We start from the raw sequence: 20,574 nt of genomic DNA on the forward strand, positions 1-20,574 counted from the left end.
CTCAAAGTGGCACAGCTTAAAATGGCAGAGTGCGGACCGTGACAGATGCTGTGACTCCAGAGCCAACAGCATCCCCCAGTGAAGAGGAGACAGAAACACATGGGGAGGAAGGAAGGCCAGGACACTGAGAGCAAGGCTGCAGGCTGAGGATGGTTCTGCCTCCACACACCAGGAAATAAATGAGTCACTGGGAGAAGGAACTCTGTTCTGTCATTTTTGATGGTTTATGGCCTATTTATGTTTTATCAGTTATGGTGGATGGGGGAGCATACTGCTACTTACAGAAGATGGGCAATGCTTGGATAAACTATCTTTAGTAGTTTATCTCACAAAAACTTTTTCACATGCCTGAATTTTTTTCCCATAGAGACGTTCACGCAGTTCACTGATTCGCTTGTCCATCATGGCCACCTCCATGTTGCGCTTATTTAAGAGTTCCTTCTGCTGCTGAAGTTTTGAATTTTGTTCCTGGTTAAGTTGGTTACGAATCTACAAACCACAAAATACAACCTTTATGATTTGTGTTAATTAAAAGTCAAATTCTCATTGCCAGGGAGATTAAAAAAGAAAAAGTAGCATTAAGTTCTCATGTATATTTACATGCATGCACTGCCACCTTGTGTGGAATATTTCACAGGTACAGCAGAGATAAGCCAGGACAGCGTTCTCATGGAACAAAGAAAGAGCAAACATCTGTAAGCATCTTCTTCAAAGCACACGAAATGACTAGTGCCAATGATGATTACAGGAGACTAGTGCGGTGTTTGGGACTCTCAGAAACTAAAGGATGCTCTGCTCCACCCCATGGAGCTGCTTCAGGCCTGAGCCCACCACATGATGCACCTTACTGTGGAGGCAGCAGGAAACTCAAAAAGGACCAAAAAGGATGGCCTGAGTCACCAAGTGAAGCACCTTTACATCATTTTAGTGGCTTGCAACCAGCATTTTAAAGAAATGAACTAGGACAGAACAGAAAATATCAGAGTGTACTTCCCATAGTAAGAGCTGTCTTAAACTTTCGGATGCCCACAGCACTAGTACATACACACTTCCGTGTGTATACTCAACAGGACGTAAAATGTACTTTTAAAAACTGGATTGCAGGCCGGGTGCGGTGGCTCACGCCTGTAATCCCAGCACTCTGGGAGGCCGAGGTGGGTGGATCACCTGAGGTCAAGAGTTCAAGACCAGCCTGGCCAACATGGTAAAACCCTGTCTCTACTAAAAATACAAAAATTAGCCAGGTGTGGTGGCATGTGCCTATAATCCCAGCTACTCGGGAGGCTGAGGCAGGAGAATTGCTTGAAACCAGGAGGCGGTGGTTGCAGTGAGCTGAGATTGCCCTACTGCACTCCAGCCTTGGTGACAGAGGCAGACTCTGTCTCAAAAAACAAACAAACAAAAAACAACAATAAAAACTGGGTTGCAGGCTGGGCGCAGTGGCTCACGCCTATAATCCCAATACTTTGGGAGGCCAAGGTAGGCAGATCACGAGGTCAGGAGTTCGAGACCAGCCTGGCCAACATGGTGAAACTCCGTCTCTAATAAAAATACAAAAATTAGCCAGGTATGGTGGCGGGTGCCTGTAATCCCAGCTACTGGGGAGGCTGAGGCAGGAGAATCGCTTGAACCCTGGAGGCAGAGGTTGCAGTGAGCCGAGATCGTGCCACTGCACTCCAGCCTTGGACTCCGTCTCAAAAAAAAGAAAAACAAAACAACAACAACAAAAACAAACAAACAAAAACCTGGACTGCAGTCCAAAAAGTTGGAAATAAATGACATCCTTATATTACACTCATCACATTTCACCAAAAAATCCTTAAAACGCTGCACTTTTAACAATCGCTTAAAATGTAGAAGTCATGAAACCTTATAATACTGTAGTACTTCTATGCATTTACGTTAAAGAACTTAACAGCAACCACAAGTGATTTTACTCTATGTAGTTAAATACCCTCATTTCATAAAATGATGTAATATTTTTTCTAGCAAGTGCTAATAAAGCAGCAAGACCTATTTCTGGCTTGAAAAATCGCCTGCTGAATGACAACTTCTGAGACATGAAAATCTTAAGGATTGTTAAGGACTGAATGTGTCCCCCAAAATCTCTATGTTGAAGCCCTAACCCCATTGTAATGGTGTCTGGAGGCAGGGTCTTTAGGAGGTAATTAGGTTTAAGCAAGGTCATGAGGGTGGGGCCCCCCATGATGAAGTTCACGGAGAGAGACTACAACTCTCTCTCCACTACGTGGGGACACAGCGAGAAGGCGGCTCTCTGCAAGCCAGGGAGTGAACATTCACTGGAAACTGAATTTGCTGGCACCTTGATCTTGGACTTCCAGCCTCCAGAACAGTGGGAAATAAATGTCTATAGTTTAAGCCATCCAGCCTATGATATTTTGTTATAGCAGTCTGAGCTAAGACAAAGATTTAACAATAGGCACCTAGCTCATCAAAAGAGTTTACACAAAGGCCTTAAAATATCACCCTAAGTTTAATTCTTTACTGGATTATTATCTGCTAATTGAATTATTTTGTGCTGAAAACATCCTAAGTGAAAGAAGCCGGTCACAAAGGACCGCATACAGGGTGTGTTTTGGTTAATATCCTTTAACCAAAATGCTGGGGACCCGGAGCATTTCAGATGTTGGATTCATTCAGATTTTTAAATATTTATGTTATATTTACCTGTTTAGCATCCTTCCTAATCTGGAAATCCAAAATCCAAAATGCTCCAATGAGCATGTATTTCCTTTGCATGCCACGCTGGAGCTCAGGAAGTTTCAGATTTGAAGCATTTTAGATTATCGGATTAAGGATGCTCAACCTGTACTGCATGATTCCATTCATATGAAACGTCCAGAATAGGCAAATCTACAGAGACAGAAAGTAGATCTGTGGCTGCCAGGCTCTGGAGGGTATGGAGGTTGTGGGGTGATGGCTAAGAGGTGCGGGCCTTTTTTTTGGGTGATAAAAATGTTCTAAAATTAACTGTGGCGGTGGATGTAACTGACAAGTCGGTGAAGGTACTGAAGCCACTGAATTGTATCCTTGAAATGGATGAATTGTACGCTGTGTGAATTAGATCCTTTTTTTTTTTTTTTTTTGAGACAGAGTCTCACTCTGTCACCCAGGCTGGAGTGCAGTGGCGCAATCTTGGCTTACTGCAGCTTCTGCCTCCCGGGTTCAAGTGATTCTTCTGCCTCAGCCTCCCAAGTGGCTGAGACTACGGGCATGCGCCACCACGCCCAGCTAATTTTTCTATTTTTAGTAGAGACGGGGTTTCACCATATTGGCCAGGCTGGTCTCAAACTCCTGATCTTGTGATCTGCCCGCCTCGGCTTCCCAAAGTGCTGGGATTATAGGCGTGAGCTACCGCACCCGGCCTATCCCAAGTCATTTAAAAAATTATTTTGTACTGAATATATCTTGTGCCTATTATTAAATTAGAATCTACTAATTTGTTTCCACTTCCTAAGGTTTCCAACCCATGCTAATGAAAGATAGAAAGATGAGAATGTTTTAATACAACCATTGCCAGACCCAGGAGTTACCTGTAGTTCTTGGTACAGTCTTTTTAACTCCACCGCCGCTGGTCCCGTCAATTTGCCATTGTAAGACTGGAACCCATTCAGTTTTCCTTTCTTTAAATCTTCCAATTGCTGACTAAGCTGATCAACCCTTAAAATTGCAGTCTGTACTTCCTGCTTCTTTTCCTGGAACATGGCACTGAACCTTTCTATTTCAGCAGCTATAATTGACCACACAAGAAAAGAATAAAAGATTTAGTTGATCCTTTTTTTTTTTCATTTCTATACACTGAACTTAATTCTAGTATCATTTAGTGCCAGACCGTGGAGAAAGCTGTGATATGCAGAATCCACAACACATTTCAAAAAGCCTTTGGGACACATGTATCTGATTACTCATAAAGCAAACAATTATATTTGCATTAATTCCCGACTATTCTTTAGGGTAATCAGTCCATAAGCTAGTTTGTTCAAGTGACTTAGAAATCTCTGAGACCAAAGGTTTTGTGAAGGCAGGGCCATCCAAGCCTCTCTCGTGCATCACTGTGACTTAAAGTAGGCACAGACTGAACCAATGAATAAAATAAGAGTTCATACAGAAAAAAAGTGAGCATCAGCATAACTTATCTTAATGCACGGATACAAGTTAAGTTATTCAAGAAAAACAGACCCTCTGAATGAGTAAGTCTTGGAGCGCCCCACCCTAATCCAAAGGGCCGCTGGTACCAACGTAACAAGAGGATTTTTCTACTGCGTCTGAGGGCCGCAAGAGATCTTTTTATTTTTTTTTGAGACAGGGTCTCATTGTCATTCAGGCTGGGGAGCACTGGCCGGATCGTGGCTTACTGCAGCCTTGACCTCCCAGGCTCAAGCAATCCTCCCACCTCAGCCTCTCAAGTAGCTGGGACTACACAATTTTAAGATCACTTAACCTAACCCACCCATCCTTTTAGATGCAAATAACAGAGCAAAACTTGAGCACGCTTGCTATTTAGTCCTGTGAATTTGTGACTGAATTGTCAGGCAGTTAGACTATGTTTCACTGGATCTGGGCCTGGTGAGAGTGGTGTCGAGGGGGTGTTGCAGGCACGTACACAGATTGCCGTTCATGATTTTGCTGTAGTCGACTTGTCCTCTCATTGCACGAATTTTCTTCAGCTTGTTCTCCTGGGCTTCAACTCGTTCTTTCAATTTCTGAAGCTTTTCATTTTCAGAAATAGACTGCTGCTGACGGCGCTCCTGTTGCTTTAGAAAATGTAAACGCTGTTCCTAACAAAAGAAAGAAAAATGTAACTTTGAAAATTGAAGGCTGGGCGCGGTGGCTCACATCTGTAATTCCAGCACTTTGAGAGGCTGAGGTAGGTGGATCACCTGAGGTCAGGAGTTCGAGACCAGCCTGGCCAACATGGTGAAACCCTGTCTCTACTAAAAATACACAAAGTAACTGGGCGTGGTGTGCGCCTGTAGTCCCAGCTACTTGGGAGGCTGAGGCAGAAGAATCGCTTGAAACCAGGAGATGGAGGTTGCAGTGAGCTGAGATCGTGCCACTGCACTCCAGCCTGGGTGCCAGAGTGAGACTCAGTCTCAAAAAAAAAAAAAAAAAAAAAAAAATTGAAACTTATGATTACTTTTATATACTCAAAAAGAAAAATGTGAGAGTATTCTACAGTATCACTCATCTTAAAGAATACTAAAACACTAGAGGAATCTTATATCAGACCATAAAAAACTGAAATTACTGGGCGTACCTAAGTATGAAATAGTAAGAGCTGCGGGATTTTTAAGAGAGAGGGTTTTCTTTTTCTTCTTTTTTTTTTCTTTTGAGACGGAGTCTCGCTCTGTTGCCCAGGCTGGAGTGCAGTGGCATGATCTCGGCTCACTGCAAGCTCTGCCTCCCGGGTTCACACCATTCTCCTGACTCAGTCTACCGAGTAGCTGGGACTACAGGCGCCCACCACCATGCCCAGCTAATTTTTTTGTATTTTTTTAGTAGAGACAGGGTTTCACTGTGTTAGCCAGGATGGTCTCGATCTCCTGACCTCGTGATCCACCCGCCTCGGCCTCCCAAAGTGCTGGGATTACAGGCGTGAGCCACCGCGCCCGGTGAGAGAGGGTTTTATTACACTCATCTACACCAGTTAATATAAGCGCTTCTGCAGAAAACCTTCCAGCAGGAGAACATGCACTAACACAGTCTCCTCTTCACTCTATCACATCCGTGATGTTCCAGTGAGCCTTACTTTCCTGGTGCAAGTAATACATTTCCTGCTGCTACAAAGTGGCTTCCAAGAATCTAATTCATTTCCTAAAGGAAATGAACACTGACCAGCAGAGAATTTTACACTGAAAAGAGATAAAGGTGATCAGTAAAGAGATAAATCTTCAATTTGTTGTGATACTGAACAATCAAGGAAGTGTCTGCTTCTTCAGGATTATTTTCTTCAATAAGGAAACATTTTAGAGTCAAACAATACCAGAACAATCTAAAAATAACAATATATGCAACATTCTTCAATAGGGTTTTCCCTATTAATGTGAAAACATACCTTAAAGAGTCAACATTAAGTATTCATGATCCCATATGTATGCATAAAATACACCTACATAGGGAGAGGTTTAAGGTGTGATTATGAAGGCACTACATACTACACTCTAAGGTAAAACAATATGTGCTTAAATATTTAAGATGTAGCATTAACTTGTGATTCACATTACTGAAAATATCTATAACTATTTTGAACAGCAATACTCTTGGATCAATATTTGGAAAAAAATAAAAAGCAGAATTAGAAAATTTTTACAATGACATAATACTATGTATATTTTATCTTAGAAATCTTATTAATGGGATAAAGTACTTTCCAATTGAACTTAACTTTTAATCATTTTCTCATAAATCCAATAAATATTGAGACAACTTTTTAAAACAAGTCCAACCCAAATTATTATTTACATAAAAGTGGATAGTACAATGAAGTATATACAGTCATTCAATAAATTTTAAAAAATCAGATTGGACATTTTAGTCATAAAGAAAATCTCTCTACAGAAGAAAGCAATAAGAACCTAGTTGGTAATGTTTAAATGTTATCTTTAAAGCCAGTTTGGAATTTTTTTTTCTTTTTTTTTTTCATTTTGAGACAGAGTCTTGCTCTGTCACCCAGGCTGCAGTGCAATGGCGCGATCTCAGCTCACTGCAACCTCCACCGCCGGCTTCAAGAGATTCTCCTGCTCAGCCTGAGTGGCTGGGATTACAGGCGTTAGCCACTACATCTGGCTAATTTTTGTATTTTTAGTATAGACAGGGTTTCACCATGTTGGCCAGGCTGGTCTCGAACTCCTGACCTCAGATGATCCACCTGCCTCGGCCTCCCAAAGTGCTGGGATTACAGGTATAAGCCACCACGCCCGGCCAGTTTCAGAATATTTTAAGATCATTTACAACATGAATCATTTCCAGCAGGCATGTGTGATACATCTGATGTTTCAATTAAATATGACTAAACCATTACTTAGAAAGATTCGAGTTTCAATAACCAGTGTAGAACTCAGTATATATAATAAGCATTATCTATACTCCGCACTGTAATAAACCAAACAAGTCCAGCCTAGAGTAGCACATGGGGAAGCCCCGTTAACCACCTGTCATTGTCTTCGTGGCCCTGATCAGTGTTTTCATCACGGATTGCTGCTTTCTTCTTGAACATTAATACCAATGACACAGCCAAGAACATACCCAGAGGCAAAAGGAGATAACAAAAGCACCCTTTCTTCCCGATTTCTTTGTTTTTTTTTTCTTTTGAGATGGAGTCTCGCTCTGTTGCTCAGGCTAGAGTGCAGTGGCACAATCTCGGCTCACTGCAAGCTCTGCCTCCTGGGTTCACACCATTCTCCCGCCTGAGCCTCCCGAGTAGCTGGGACTACAGGCGCCCGCCACCAAGCCTGGGTAATTTTTTTTAAATATTTTTAGTAGAGACGGAGTTTCACCATGTTAGCCAGGATGGCCTCAATCTCCTGACCTTGTGAGCCGCCCACTTTGGCCTCCCAAAGTGCTGGGATTACAGGAGTGAGCCACTGCACCCAGCCTTTTTTTTTTTTTTTAATACAGGGTCTCACTTACTCTGTCACCCAGGCTGGAATGCAGTGGCATGATCTTGGCTCACTGCAACCAACTCCTGGGCTCAAGTGATCCTCCTGCCTTAACCTCCCATGTAGCTGGGACCACAGCCACATGCCACCATGCCTAATTTTTACTTTTTGTAGAGACAGGGTCTCACTATGTTTCCCAGGCTGGTCCTGAACTCCTGGGCTCCAGCAATCCTCCTGCCTTGGCCTCCCAGAGTGCTGGGATTACAGGCAGGAGCCACTGTGCCTGGCCCCTTTCCAAATTTTATCTATGATTTTAATAAGGTCATCAGTTTCCTGTTTGGGGTGTCTATTGTATGTGTCAAAAGTGAGATGCTCTTGTTCTGATAGCTTCCCAACTTCCAGAAACTACAGTATGCATATATTATTATGGAAGTGATAACAAAGAGAGAAAGACTGCATTTAGCACTCCTATGGCATGGTCCTATTTTATAAGCGTTACCCAAGAATATATTAACCCCAGTCTAAAATGATGGTTAAAGAAGGTACTTTTTGAACAATGTTTCAATACCTCTTTTTATAACTTACCTTGGCAACCAACATCTGCTGCTGATTTTCAATCTGCTGCTGTTGCCTAGCTGCCATATCTTGGAGCTCTGAGAGGGTAAGTTCAACACGTGGATTCCCAACCTAAACAAAAAGCACTTATTTTGGAACATAAGTTTATCTGCATAATTGTCTGTCTCTAGTGTCAAAACTCACACATATCAGGACTTTAGATAGGATCCCTAGTAGTGAGGAGAGTACCAACTAGTTTATTTTCTTGTAAGAACTTTTCCTAATTGTTGACTGCTTTTATGAAATATAAATAACTGTTTTTCTAATGCATAAACATCAGATACCGTATTTAGTAAGGGCTCAAGTTTAAGCAAACATTTGCAAATGTGTATTATGAGTGACATTCCTCCTTCTGGAATGACAATTTAGTAGGTATATTTGAGCAAATGGGGCTGTCAAATGTTTAAGGATACACAACCAAAAATATAAATATGCAGGTAACGCCTAAGAACAAATGTCATCTCACTATCACCTGATCTCAGGAAATGAAAATACGTAACAGATTCTAATATATGAATAACTCACTAAAAACACCATATGCATGACTTACATGAAGAACACATCATCCGAGAGAATTACATATGTGAAATCAACATGCAAAGTAACATCTAGATGAATGCAGTTGGCTGTTTCTCCATTCTCCAATCTCTGTCAATGATGCCCTGAACTAAACACTTTACATATATGACCCATTTCGGCCTCAGAATGACCAATGAGGTGGGTACTGTTACATCCCTGTTTTACAGATAAGAAAACAAGCACAGGGCAGTCAGCTTGCGAGGCAAAGCAGAGACACAGAGTCTATGTTCTCGACTGTTCCTCACAGTTCATTACTTACTAAGCCCACACCACGTGCACTGTGTACTGTGACAGACATGCTATGAGCATTGTGCCATATGCTCTTCAAAACAAATCTGCATGGGGTTGTGGGGGTTATGTGAGCCCCCACTCTGGGTGAGGAGCTATGGGGGTGAGGGGAAGGAGCATGCCTAGAGGCACGCAGCTCATTAAAGCCCTAGAGCTCCATTCTCACAAGCCCATCTCCAAACCCTTCAGTTCTGAGCAGGGAGGCCACACAGTTCCTCCTCAAGCTCCCACGTTCTACTTCTAGGTTCATATATACTCTTAGGATACCTTCACCTTCTGCCACCCTTAAACCTCTTATAATTCTTAATAGTCAGTTACAGTTCCTGTTCCTCCAGCTCCATGTCTTCCCAAACTTTTATGATGTTTGAGCACATTCTTGACTCTTGAAACATGGGATCAGGATTTAACAGTCTTTTTTTTTTTTTTTCTTGAGACGGAGTCTCGCTCTGTCACCCAGGCTGGAGTGCAGTGGTGTGATCTTAGCTCACTGCAACCTCCGCCTCCTGGGCTCAAGCAATTCTCCTGCCTCAGTCTCCCGAATAGCTGGGACTACAGGTGCCCACCACCACACCCGGCTAATTTTTGTTATTTTTAGTAGGGACAGGGTTTCACCATATTGGCCAGGCTGGTCTTGAACTCCTGACCTCGTGATCTGCCTGCCTTGGCCTCCCAAAGTGCTGGGATTACAGGCATGAGCCACCGCGCCCGGCTGGATTTAACAGTCTTAACTGGAACCACCATTCTGTTTATCTAAAAATCCTGAAAAAGCAATACGGTACAAGATTTTTTTTTTTTTTTTTTTTAATTTAGAGACTGAATCTCACTCTGTCACCCAGGCTGGGGTACAGTGGTGCAATCACTGCAGCCTTAAGCTATCCTCTCGCCTAGCTAGGACTACAGGCACAAGCCACCATGCCTGGCTGATTTTTAAAATTTTTTGTAGAGGCAGGGGTCTCACCATGTTGCCTGTGCTGGCCTCAATCTCCTGGGCTCAAATGATCCTCCCACCTAGGCCTCCCAAAGCGCTGGGATTACAGGTGTAAGCCACTGTGCCCAGACTTAAACACTTTTTGACTAGAGTAAAACTATGTCTATTCAACAAATCTTTCAATTAACATTAATTTTATAATTTCACAACTTGAAGAAAAAAAAAAATCAAAAACTACCTTTCTGGTCTCCCCCACCAAAGGCTTCACAAAACAATGAAAAGAGGATAGAAGAGAAATTTAACTGTCTGGTGTTCTGATGTTTATATCTATGAATAAGATAGAGCTTATTAAAATATTTTACTTACCTAAACCAAAAAGTATTTTATTTGCCAATACATACATTTATACTCTTTATGTTGCGTGTGTTTTTCTAAGTACAAAATTAAGATACGCCATCTTGTCATAGGTAATTCATTGTATCTTATACATCAACTTATAATGTAATGAAATTTTATGGAAGATCTTACATATAGAAAGGTGTAATAAATCATTATGTACAGCTGAATGAATTATTTCAAAGTGAATATGCCTGTGTGATTTAATTGTATTTAAATGGGTTATAAAAACATAAGCTACCATAAACCTGTAAGTCAACAAATATGTAACAATTTACATTTCAGTAATTGTGCAATGTGAAAATTTGGGAAAAAAGAAGCACTTTTTCCACAATTTCAAAGAAAATGAAAACTCTTCAATGCAAACTGGATTTTTTAATAATAGGCCTATCACTGTATTACATGCAAACTATCCCTACTTACAATTTTAAATTTTTTATACAAACTCAATTTATTCAAACAAACCTATTACCTAATTCTTCCCTATTTCTCTTCATTGATTGCATCTAATAAGAAGAAGTCAAACCCTGTTCCCTCAGGCAATTCAAGGTCCCTAATTATGGTAGAGTTGTCGGATGAGTTCAGCTCCAGGTCACACAGTGCACAAGCCACTTCCAACAACTAAGTTAAATTAGCAGAAAAGTTTTCTCAGCAACAGTCAGGCAGGTGCCTACAAATACGGGACCCCCAAAAAGGAAACATCCCACCAGCCTTAAACCTGCTCCGATGATCCCTTCGGCAGGGACTACCACCTGTGGCCCCAGGGATCCAGATCTCCTCCAACACCGATGTTCACTACCTGAACTCTGGGTTCCAGGAACACTGTTTCTGCTACTCATGAACCCAGCTCACTCTCCAGCCTCACGGCAACATCACTTGTTTTCCACAATAAACACGGCCCACCCCGCCTCAGGTCTAGCTAGCCTCCCACCCTGACCCCAGCATGAGCAGAGGGAAATAGTTTTTATTATCACTTATCTGATCATATCACTGCCTTCTTTCTCCAAACTTCCACAAATCTACTTGCAGAAATAAGAGACTTCATTAGCTGGCTTACAAAATTTTTATAAACAAAATATTTGTCTCTCCAAATATTAGTAATAAGGCTAGTCTTACATTCTATTTAATGTACTATTGAAATATTTTGCTAATATGTGGCCACGCATGATGGCTCACGGCTATAATCCCAGTTCATGAGTTTCAGACCAGCCTGGACAACACGGTGAAACCTCATCACTACAAAATACACAAAAATTAGCCAGGAATGGTAGCGGGCACCTGTAGTCCCAGTTACTTGGGAGGATGAGGTGGAAGGAACGCTTGAGCCTGGGAGGTTGAGAATGCAGTGAGCTGTGACTGCACCACTGCACTCCAGCCTAGGGAACAGAGCAAGACCCTATATTTAAAAAAAAAAAAAAAAAAAAAAAAAGAATTTTGCTATGTGCCAAAAAGTAGTAAAGACTACAATTTTACCTATGAACAGAGGAATTCATCATATTACATACCTTATCCAATACCTGTCCAGTTAATGACTCTTCATTATTGCAGTTCTTGAAAAACTATGCCATTTCTTTTTCGTATAATTAGTCTTTCACCTAGAAGCACTACATAGGCCGGGCGCTGTGGCTCACACCTGTAATCCCAGCGCTTTGGGAGGCCAAGGTGGGCGGATCACGAGGTCAGGAGTTCAAGACCAGCCTGGCCAACATGGTGAAACACTGTCTCTACTAAAAATACAAAAAATTAGCCGGGCATGGTGGCAGGTGCCTGTAATCCCAGCTACTCGGGAGGCTGAGGCAGGATAATCGCTTGAACCCAGGAGGCGGAAGTTGCAGTGAGCCAAGACCGTGCCACTGCACTCCAGCCTGGGCAACAGAGCAAGACTCCATCTCAAAAAAAAAAAAAGAAAAAGAAAAAAAAAGAAACACTAAATAATGCTCTATAAGGAGTGGTATTTTGACATTACAATTTCAGGCAAATATACATACTAATTTAGTCAACCCAATTGTTCCTAGTCAGAGAACAGACTCTGGTACAGATTTGAATTTTGTGTCATGCTTGGATAAACCCAAAATATTCTGCTTTTGCTTGGCATACATATGCCAAGTGCCTCAGAGGCAGGGGAGCATCTTCGACGCCTGTTTTGTTGTGCACATGTGCTGGCTCTACCTGCTCTGAAGTGCTCTCTTGTTTAGCTTTTGTGACCCTGAAGTGCTTTCCTGTCCTATAACTTTATTTTTATTATAAGTTCAGTCACAGTGCAATCTCCCCAAACAGCATCATCATAACCCAGAGAAGAGAGAGAACATGTATATGTTTAAAGGAGCTAAGCTACAGCATAAACGATGGAGGTTTAACTATGAATGGTGCTTTTTCCTTCAATGCCTAACATACATTCCTTTGTGATTACAAAATCAGTTAATAGAAAAGACTAGTGGATTTTGTCAGCAATTAAACATCTACTGGCAAATGGGTCACTTCAGATGTCCCTAATCTTGATATGCTGATTTTAATATTCAGCCAAATTACTTCATTATGGTTATAATAGGCAAGAACATCTCACATCGGGGTCTGTTGTGGGGTGGGGGGAGGGGAGAGGGACAGCATTAGGAGATACACCTAATGTTAAATGACGAGTTAATGGGTGCAGCACACCAACATGGCACATGTATACATACGTAACAAACCTGCATGTTGTGCACATGTACCCTAAAACTTAAAGTATTAAAAAAAAAAAAAAAGAATGTCACCATAATAATATTTGGAATAGGCAGCCACTGCTGCAGCCTCTGGAAGCCTGAAAAACGGGAACCAAGAGCAAGAGAACGACTCAGTCCCTGGGTGTCGGCGGTGGCCGTGGGGGTGAGACGGATGGGGGTGGAGGCGCTGCTGCTGTGGGGGCAGGTGGTGGCGGCGGCCGCCCGCTCCAGCCATGCTGAATAAAAACAGGAAGGAGAAAGAATCACCAAAAGCAGGGAAGAGTGGAAAAAGTTCAAAAGAAGGACAAGACACAGTGGAATCAGAGCAAATTTCCATCAGGACAAACAGCCTTGTTGCTGTCCCCGTCTACAGTATCTGCTAAATAAAAGTACCAGCCTCTCAGCCCATAGTGAAGAAAGACAAACGGCAAAATTCTTCAAGGTTTAGTGCAAGCAATAATAGAGAACTTCAAAAACTACCATCCTTAAAAGATTCGTTGTCACCAGCACTTTGTGAAGGTTCCTGGGGTGGCCTGCAGCAGCTTTTCCCGCAGCTCCCTCACACTGCCACCTTATGACAGGGATAATGAGATGGACCCGGATTTCAGAAACAATAAAATGTGGAATGTGTCCATGAAATAGGGTTGAAAGGTTGACTTGGAACTCAGTGGGCCTGTTGCTTTTCTCTATGAAACGTCTGTAGCTTCTTAGCACAGTGCGTCCATTTAGAAAGGGGGGTCTGTTAACTAGTACATGGTCATTGTTTAATGCACCTTTTAATCTCTTCCTTATCAGTGGCGGTTATGTCTCCTTATAAGTTCATTTATTCTTTTGACTGTTCTGTTTGTGTTCAGTATTATTCATCTGTACTTTTATCTTTAATTATCCTATGTCTTTTATTTTAACCTTTTCTTCATTTATTAAGTTGAATAGAGAGTTGACTTATTTTTAGTTTGCTTTTTAATAATAAAAGAATTTAAAGCCACGTATTCATTCTGAGTATAACTTTCAGCCCTATCCCTAGATTTTATTTTTTCCTTAACTTTTCGAGTCACAGGCTTTTCTTTTTTAGAGTTAACTGAGGCATAATTTACATATCCTAAAATTCACCCATTGTAACTGGAAAATTTAGTTATTTTAGCAAATACATAGAGTTGTGCAACCATCACCACAACTCTGTTTTAGAATGTTTCCATCTGCCTCCAAAAGTTACCTCATGCCATTCACCATTAATTTCCACTCTGGGCCCCAGCTGCAGGCACCCACTGATCTGCTTTCTGTCTCTAGACTTACTTTCTTCCGGACGCTTCATATAAGTGAAGTCATACCATAGGTAGTCTTTCACACCTGCTGTGAGGTTTTTGAGGTTCATCTGTGTTGAGTGGTTTCTTTTTAATGCTGCATCATATTCAGTCAGATGGATACACCACAATTTGTTTATCCATTCACCAGTTAATGGACATTTGGGCTATTTCTTAGCTGGTATGAGTAACAGTGCTGCTGTGCACATTTGCATAGAAGTCTGTGCGAGCAGATATTTCATTTCTCTTGAGTAGATACCTAGGAGTGGAATTCCTGGCTTGTATGGTGAGTTTATGTTTAGCTTTTTAAAAGACTGCCAAACTGTTCTCCAAAGCGATTGCACTATTTTACATTTCCACCAGCAATGGACACCAGTGTGTCCACATTCTTGCTAATATTTGTCTTTTTGCTTATAGCTTAATTCTTGTGGATGTGTAATGGTGTCTCACTGTGGTTTCAATTTGCGTTTCCCCAATGACTGGAAATGTTAAGCATCTTTTCATATGCCTGTTAGCCACTTGTCTCTCTTCTTTGATGAGATGTCTATTTTTAAGTTGGTTGTCTTCTTCTTGTTGAATTGTAACAGTATGTTATCCCAGATATGAGTCCTTTATCAGAAAATACAATGAAAATAAATTATTATAGAAGTACAAAATACATCCACAATGTTAATTATTGTAGTCAGTAGACATAAAATTACCCTGTTAAGTTGATATGAAAGTTTCAAAATGCTTATTCTCAATTTCTGTTATTCATTGCAAATCTTCAGATTTGTCTATATGTGTTAAACATTTCTTTTGAGCTTTTAATTTCAGGGTTTTTTTTTCATTTGTGAAAGTTCTGTTTGGTTCCTTTTTCGGTCTGCAGTGCCATTTTAAAATATTTTCCTATTCTCTTGAACATACCAACAAAACTTGTCATTTATTTAAATAAAGTAAATACAGCTGTTTTTTTTTGTTGTTGTTTGAGATGGAGTCTCGCTCTGTCGCCCAGGCTGGACTGCAGTGGCGGATCTCGGCTCACTGCAAGCTCTGCCTCCCGGGTTCATGCCATTCTCCTGCCTCAATCTCCCGAGTAGCTGGGACTACAGACGCCCGCCACCACGCCCGGCTAATCTTTTGTATTTTTAGTAGAGATGGGGTTTCACCGTGTTAGCCAGGATGGTCTCGATCTCCTGACCTCGTGATCCGCCCGCCTCGGCCTCCCAGAGTGCTGGGATTATAGGCGTGAGCCACTGTGCCCGGCCAACACAGCTGTTCTATAGCCTGTGTCAGGTCATACCAGTATCTGAGGTGTTTGTCACATTTTGTTCGTGATGTCTTATTTCCTTGTGCACGTGATTTTTAAAAATTGTATACTGGTCATTGTATTCAGATTATTTGAAATAAACTGTAACCTAGAATCAAAAAAATATATATTATTTGGAATAAAAAATTCCCTAAGCTTTCAAGCTCCAGTGAGATGACATGAAATAGTTCAACAGTTTCATGCTCGTTCCTTTTTGCACTTAGTTTATAGGAGAACACACCTTGCCAAAACATCCACTTCTGGCCTCTCTCCACCAAACTCCTCTCTCTCCTTCCAAGCCTGGCTTCCTCCCTAAATTCCCTATTTCTATGAATGGCTCTCGCCTTTTTCCAGAAGCCTCAGCAGCAACATCTTTGATTGAGCCATCCTTGCCCTAAATAAAGGCTGCTGCTCGAAAGTGCTCTTCATGACCTCCCACATCTGTGCTTGCCACTCCGTTCTAGAACCAACACTTTCCTGTGAGCATATTTCACTCATGCTCTTCCCGCTGCCCACAGTGCCCTTCCCCCACTGCTTCCTAAACTCTGCCTATCACTTAAGACCTAGGAGGCAATGCCATCTGCTTCCTGAAGTTCTTCCTGATTCTTTAAGGACTCTCTCATACCATTGTTTTGATATTCAGGATGTTTATTCACTTTCAGAGATGGGAAGAACTCAGTACTTTTTAAAATGAATTCTTGAATTCATTCTAGAGATTCAGCAATTAACATGTAATGAATGCCTGCTGCATATCAGACATTTACATATACCCAAGTTTACAGTTGTCTTAGATGATGCTTACAAAAACTCTCGGAGGAAATTTTTATTTTATTATTATTATTATTATTATTATTATTATTATTATTTTGAGACGGAGTCTAGCTCTGTCGCCCAGGCTTGAGCGCAGTGGCGCCATCTCGGCTCACTGCAACCTCCACCTCCTGGGTTCAAGCGATTCTCCTGCCTCAGCCTCCCGAATAGCTGGGACCACAGACGTATGCCACCATGCCCAGCTAATTTTTTGTATTTTTAGTAGAGATGGGGTTTCACCATGTTATCCAGGATGGTCTTGATCTCCTGACCTCATGATCCACCCACCTCGGCTTCCCAAGGTGCTGGGATTACAGGCGTCATCCACCGTGCCTGGCCCCTAGGAGGAAAATTCTTAAGCTTATTTTATAGGTGAGAAAGCTAAGGCTCTGGGCAGCTGGTTGACTGGCTTTCCCACGCTTAAGTGTCAGGTCAGTAGCAGTGCCAGGATCCTAGCCACATCTCCTGACAGCAAGCAGGCACTCTTTCCATCACATGGGAGGTGATGCCCTCACCACCTGGCTGCAGCTTGGTATCCGTGGTTGCTCCTAATCAACAGCCATTTATTATGTCAAAGGGTAAACACGCTACCAGACACCATGAAGACATCTTAATAATCTAAATCATATGAAAATACTGCTTTTTTGTTTGTTTTTTTCAGACAAGAGTCTCGCTCTGTCACCAGCTAGAGTGCAGTGGCGCTATCTCAGCTCACTGCAACTTCCGCCTCCTGGGTTCAAGCGATTCTCCTGCCTCAGCCTCCCAAGTAGCTGGCACTACAAGTGCGTGCCATCACGCCCAGCTAATTTTTGTATTTTTAGTAGAGATGGGTTTCACCATGTTGGCCAGGATGGTCTCGATCTCTTGACCTCATGATCCGCCAGATCAAAAAATGATCAAACATCAACAATTTCACATAGTTCGAACTAATGGGAAAGGATTAATTTCTCCCCCTTGAAAAACATAAAAGTTACTTGATTCAAGAATAAAACAATTTTAAAACTAAGATAAAGGCAATAATGAGAACTCTATAGGCAACTCTTTATTTTTGGAAGATTATGAGAAGTGACCAAATAGACCTAATGTCACCTGCCCAATGACCCGAAGGGCTTTGGAGTGGAAGGATCACTTGAGGCCAAAAGTTCAAAGCCAGCCTGGGCAACATATGAGACACCATCTCTACAAAAAAATTTAAAAATTGCTGGGCATGGTGGTGCACACCTCTAGTACCAGCTACTTTGGAGGCTGAGGTGAGAGGACTGCTTGAGCCCGGGGTTCCAAGCTGCAGTGAACTATGATTGCACCACTGTACTCCAGCCTAGGCAACAGAGCGAAACCCTGTCTCTTTAAAATAAATAAATAAGAACTGAAAATCTATAAATTACCATTTAGAAGAAAAACTGGATGCCTTTTCTGCTTGTATCACCATACCCTTGAAACTGTATTTTCAAATACTTCCTTTGAAAGTCTCTGAGATTCCAGGAGTTGTGACACCATTGCAAAGCACAGCAAACAATGACCTCACAAGGCTCGTCTCCAGTCTCATTCCCGTCCTGCTCTTTATCTCCCACTGCTGATATATAATTCTTGCAGGCCAGCACCACAGAGATCTTTCTAAAACACAGCTTGCTTAAAATCCCACAAGATTAATCTGAGCTCTTAGCATGGTGAAGACCTGGCCTCTCCCAGGCTGGTCCTCTTGCTCTCGCTCTCCTCCCTCTCCGTGTCCCCTCTCAGTGTCTCCTCCCCCTTGCCTGTCCCTACACTTCATGCTGCACAGTCCTGTTTATAACTCTCTGTCACCATACAGTTTCATGTCTATTCCTCTGTATCTTTGTGGAATCCTCTGATTCTTTCTTTTGGGAAGTATTGCCCAACATCAATCTTGATAAAGTTAATCATACCCCTTTATTTTGGTGCCTTATTCCACTTTTACTACACTTTTCATACTAGCATGATTTGTTCACACATCTGTCTCCAAAAATGCCCTTTCTTTCTCTATAAAATCTGAGAGGAGACTTCAGGTGGCCTCCACTAACCATCTTGCTTTTGTGTCTTTATTCTGTCTACAATTAAAATAAGTTGCATAGAATTGTTTTAAAAATAATAGAGAAATTCTAAGCCTCCGTGGTAGTCACCTGAGTGTCTTCTTTTTTTTTTTTTTGAGATGGAGTCTCACTCTGTCACCCAGGCTGGAGTGCAGTGGCACAATCTCGGTTCACTGCAACCTCCGCCCCCCGGGGTTCAAGTGATTCTCCTGCCTCAGCCTCCCGGATAGCTGGGATTACAGGCACCCATCACCACGCCCAGCTAATTTTTGTATTTTTATTATTATTATTATTTTTTGAGATGGAGTCTTGCTCTGTCGCCAGGCTGGAGTGCAAGTGGTGCCATCTTGGCTCACTGCAACCTCCGCCTCCCAGGTTCAAGCAATTCCCCTGCCTCAGCCTCTCGAGTAGCTGGAACTACAGGCGTGCGCCACCACGCCCGGCTAATTTTTTTTGTATTTTAGTAGAGACAGGGTTTCACCATATTGGCCAGGATGGTCTCAATCTCCTGACCTTGTGATCCGCCTGCCTCAGCCTCCCAAAGTGCTGGGATTACAGGCGTGAGCCACTGCACCAGGCCTAATTTTTGTATTTTTAGTAGCGACAGGGTTTCACCATATTGGCCAGGATAGTCTCAATCTCCTGACCTTGTGATCTGCCTGCCTGCCTCAGCCTCCCAAAGTGCTGGGATTACAGGCATGAGCCACTGCACCAGGCCTAATTTTTGTATTTTTAGGAGAGATGGGGTTTCACCATGCTGGCCAGGCTGGTCTCAAGCTCCTGACTTCACTGATCCACCCTCCTTGGCCTCCCAAAGTGCAGGATTACAGGTGTGAGCCACCCTGCCCAGCTCTCAGTATCTCTTTAAACTGTACATGTTTTATACATGTACATATATTTCTGTGTATATATTTCACAATAAAGAATAGAAAAAAATTAGACCAAATGTCTAGTATCTTATCTTGTAATTTAATCATCACAAGATTTAAAAAGACTATAAATATTTTTAGCAGTTTACAGAAAATGTCTTTAAATTTGTCTTTGTTTTACTTCCACACTGCACTGATCTTTTTTCTTTCTGTTTTTTGAGATGGAGTCTCGCTCTGTCACCCAGGCTGGAGTGCAGTGGTGCGATCTTGGCTCACCGCAACCTGTGCCTCCTGGGTTCAAGCAATTCTCCTGCTTAAGCCTCCCGAGTAGCTGGGATCACAGGTGCGTGCCACCATGCCAGGCTAATATTTGTATTTTTTTTTTAGTAGAGACGGGGCTTTACCATGTTGGCCAGGCTTGTCTCAAACTCCTGGCCTCAAGTGATCTGCCCGCCTCAGCCTCCCAAAGTGCTGGGATTACAGGTGTGGGCCACTGTGCTTGGCCTACACTGATGTATTTTAAAATTTTTTTTTTGTAGAGACAGTGTCTCACTATGTTACCCAGGCTGGTCTCAAACTCCTAGTCTCAAGTTATTCTCTTGCCTTGGCCTCTCAAAGTGCTGGGATCACAGGCGTGAGCCACAACACATACTGTATAACTAGTTTTTTTTAAAAGTATAAGCAGTTTCTCAAGTAAAATGTCATTTCAAAAATGACAAACATCCCTAATGCAAAACTCTAGCAAAATAATTAGAATAAAACCTACTTATGCTCACGTAATATTCATCAGTATGAAATCATTCCTCTTTGTTCCTATCTCTTCAAGGTTATATATCTTCTGGTTTGAAGAGTAGGTTTTACTTGCCCATTTAGCAAACAAAAAATAGGTGATAATGATATCAAGATACCTTATGAACACGGATGCTCATTTTTATCACATAAATTATATGCTCAGTATTCCCAGTCACAAAGGTGGCAAAAATATAAAATGTTCAATAAAATCAAGCCTCTCTAACATCTCATTAAATTCTGAAGCCAGAATATTTCATATTCCAATAATTACTAAGTCTCACAAATTAATAAGAGCCAATTAGATATCTAAAATGCATACTAGCTCCCTATCCCCTGCAATAG

General features: G+C 41.9%; 1 protein-coding gene across 13 annotated transcripts in view; it reads right to left on the reverse strand.

Moving 5' to 3' along the window:
* Nucleotides 1-20,574, reverse strand: part of PPP1R13B (protein phosphatase 1 regulatory subunit 13B) — a 115,620-nt gene that overhangs the window by 16,251 nt on the left and 78,795 nt on the right. For 12 of the 13 annotated variants that reach the window (XR_007063997.1, XR_001750206.3, XR_001750205.3 and 9 more), the window contains exons 5-8: nt 8,205-8,306; nt 4,625-4,799; nt 3,555-3,751; nt 349-489 (exon numbers count right to left, since the gene is read on the reverse strand). Coding sequence is in view for 9 of the 13 variants with exons in the window: in XM_005267487.6 (XP_005267544.1) it covers nt 349-489; nt 3,555-3,751; nt 4,625-4,799; nt 8,205-8,306 (615 nt within the window). In the remaining 4 variants the exon portion in view is untranslated. Of the gene's footprint in view, nt 1-348; nt 490-2,688; nt 2,836-3,554; nt 3,752-4,624; nt 4,800-8,204; nt 8,307-20,574 lie in introns of those variants that run through there. The other variant, XM_017021119.2, reaches the window with a different exon arrangement.

Source organism: Homo sapiens, chromosome 14, assembly GCF_000001405.40.
Source record: "Homo sapiens chromosome 14, GRCh38.p14 Primary Assembly".
Lineage (NCBI taxonomy): Eukaryota > Metazoa > Chordata > Mammalia > Primates > Hominidae > Homo > Homo sapiens.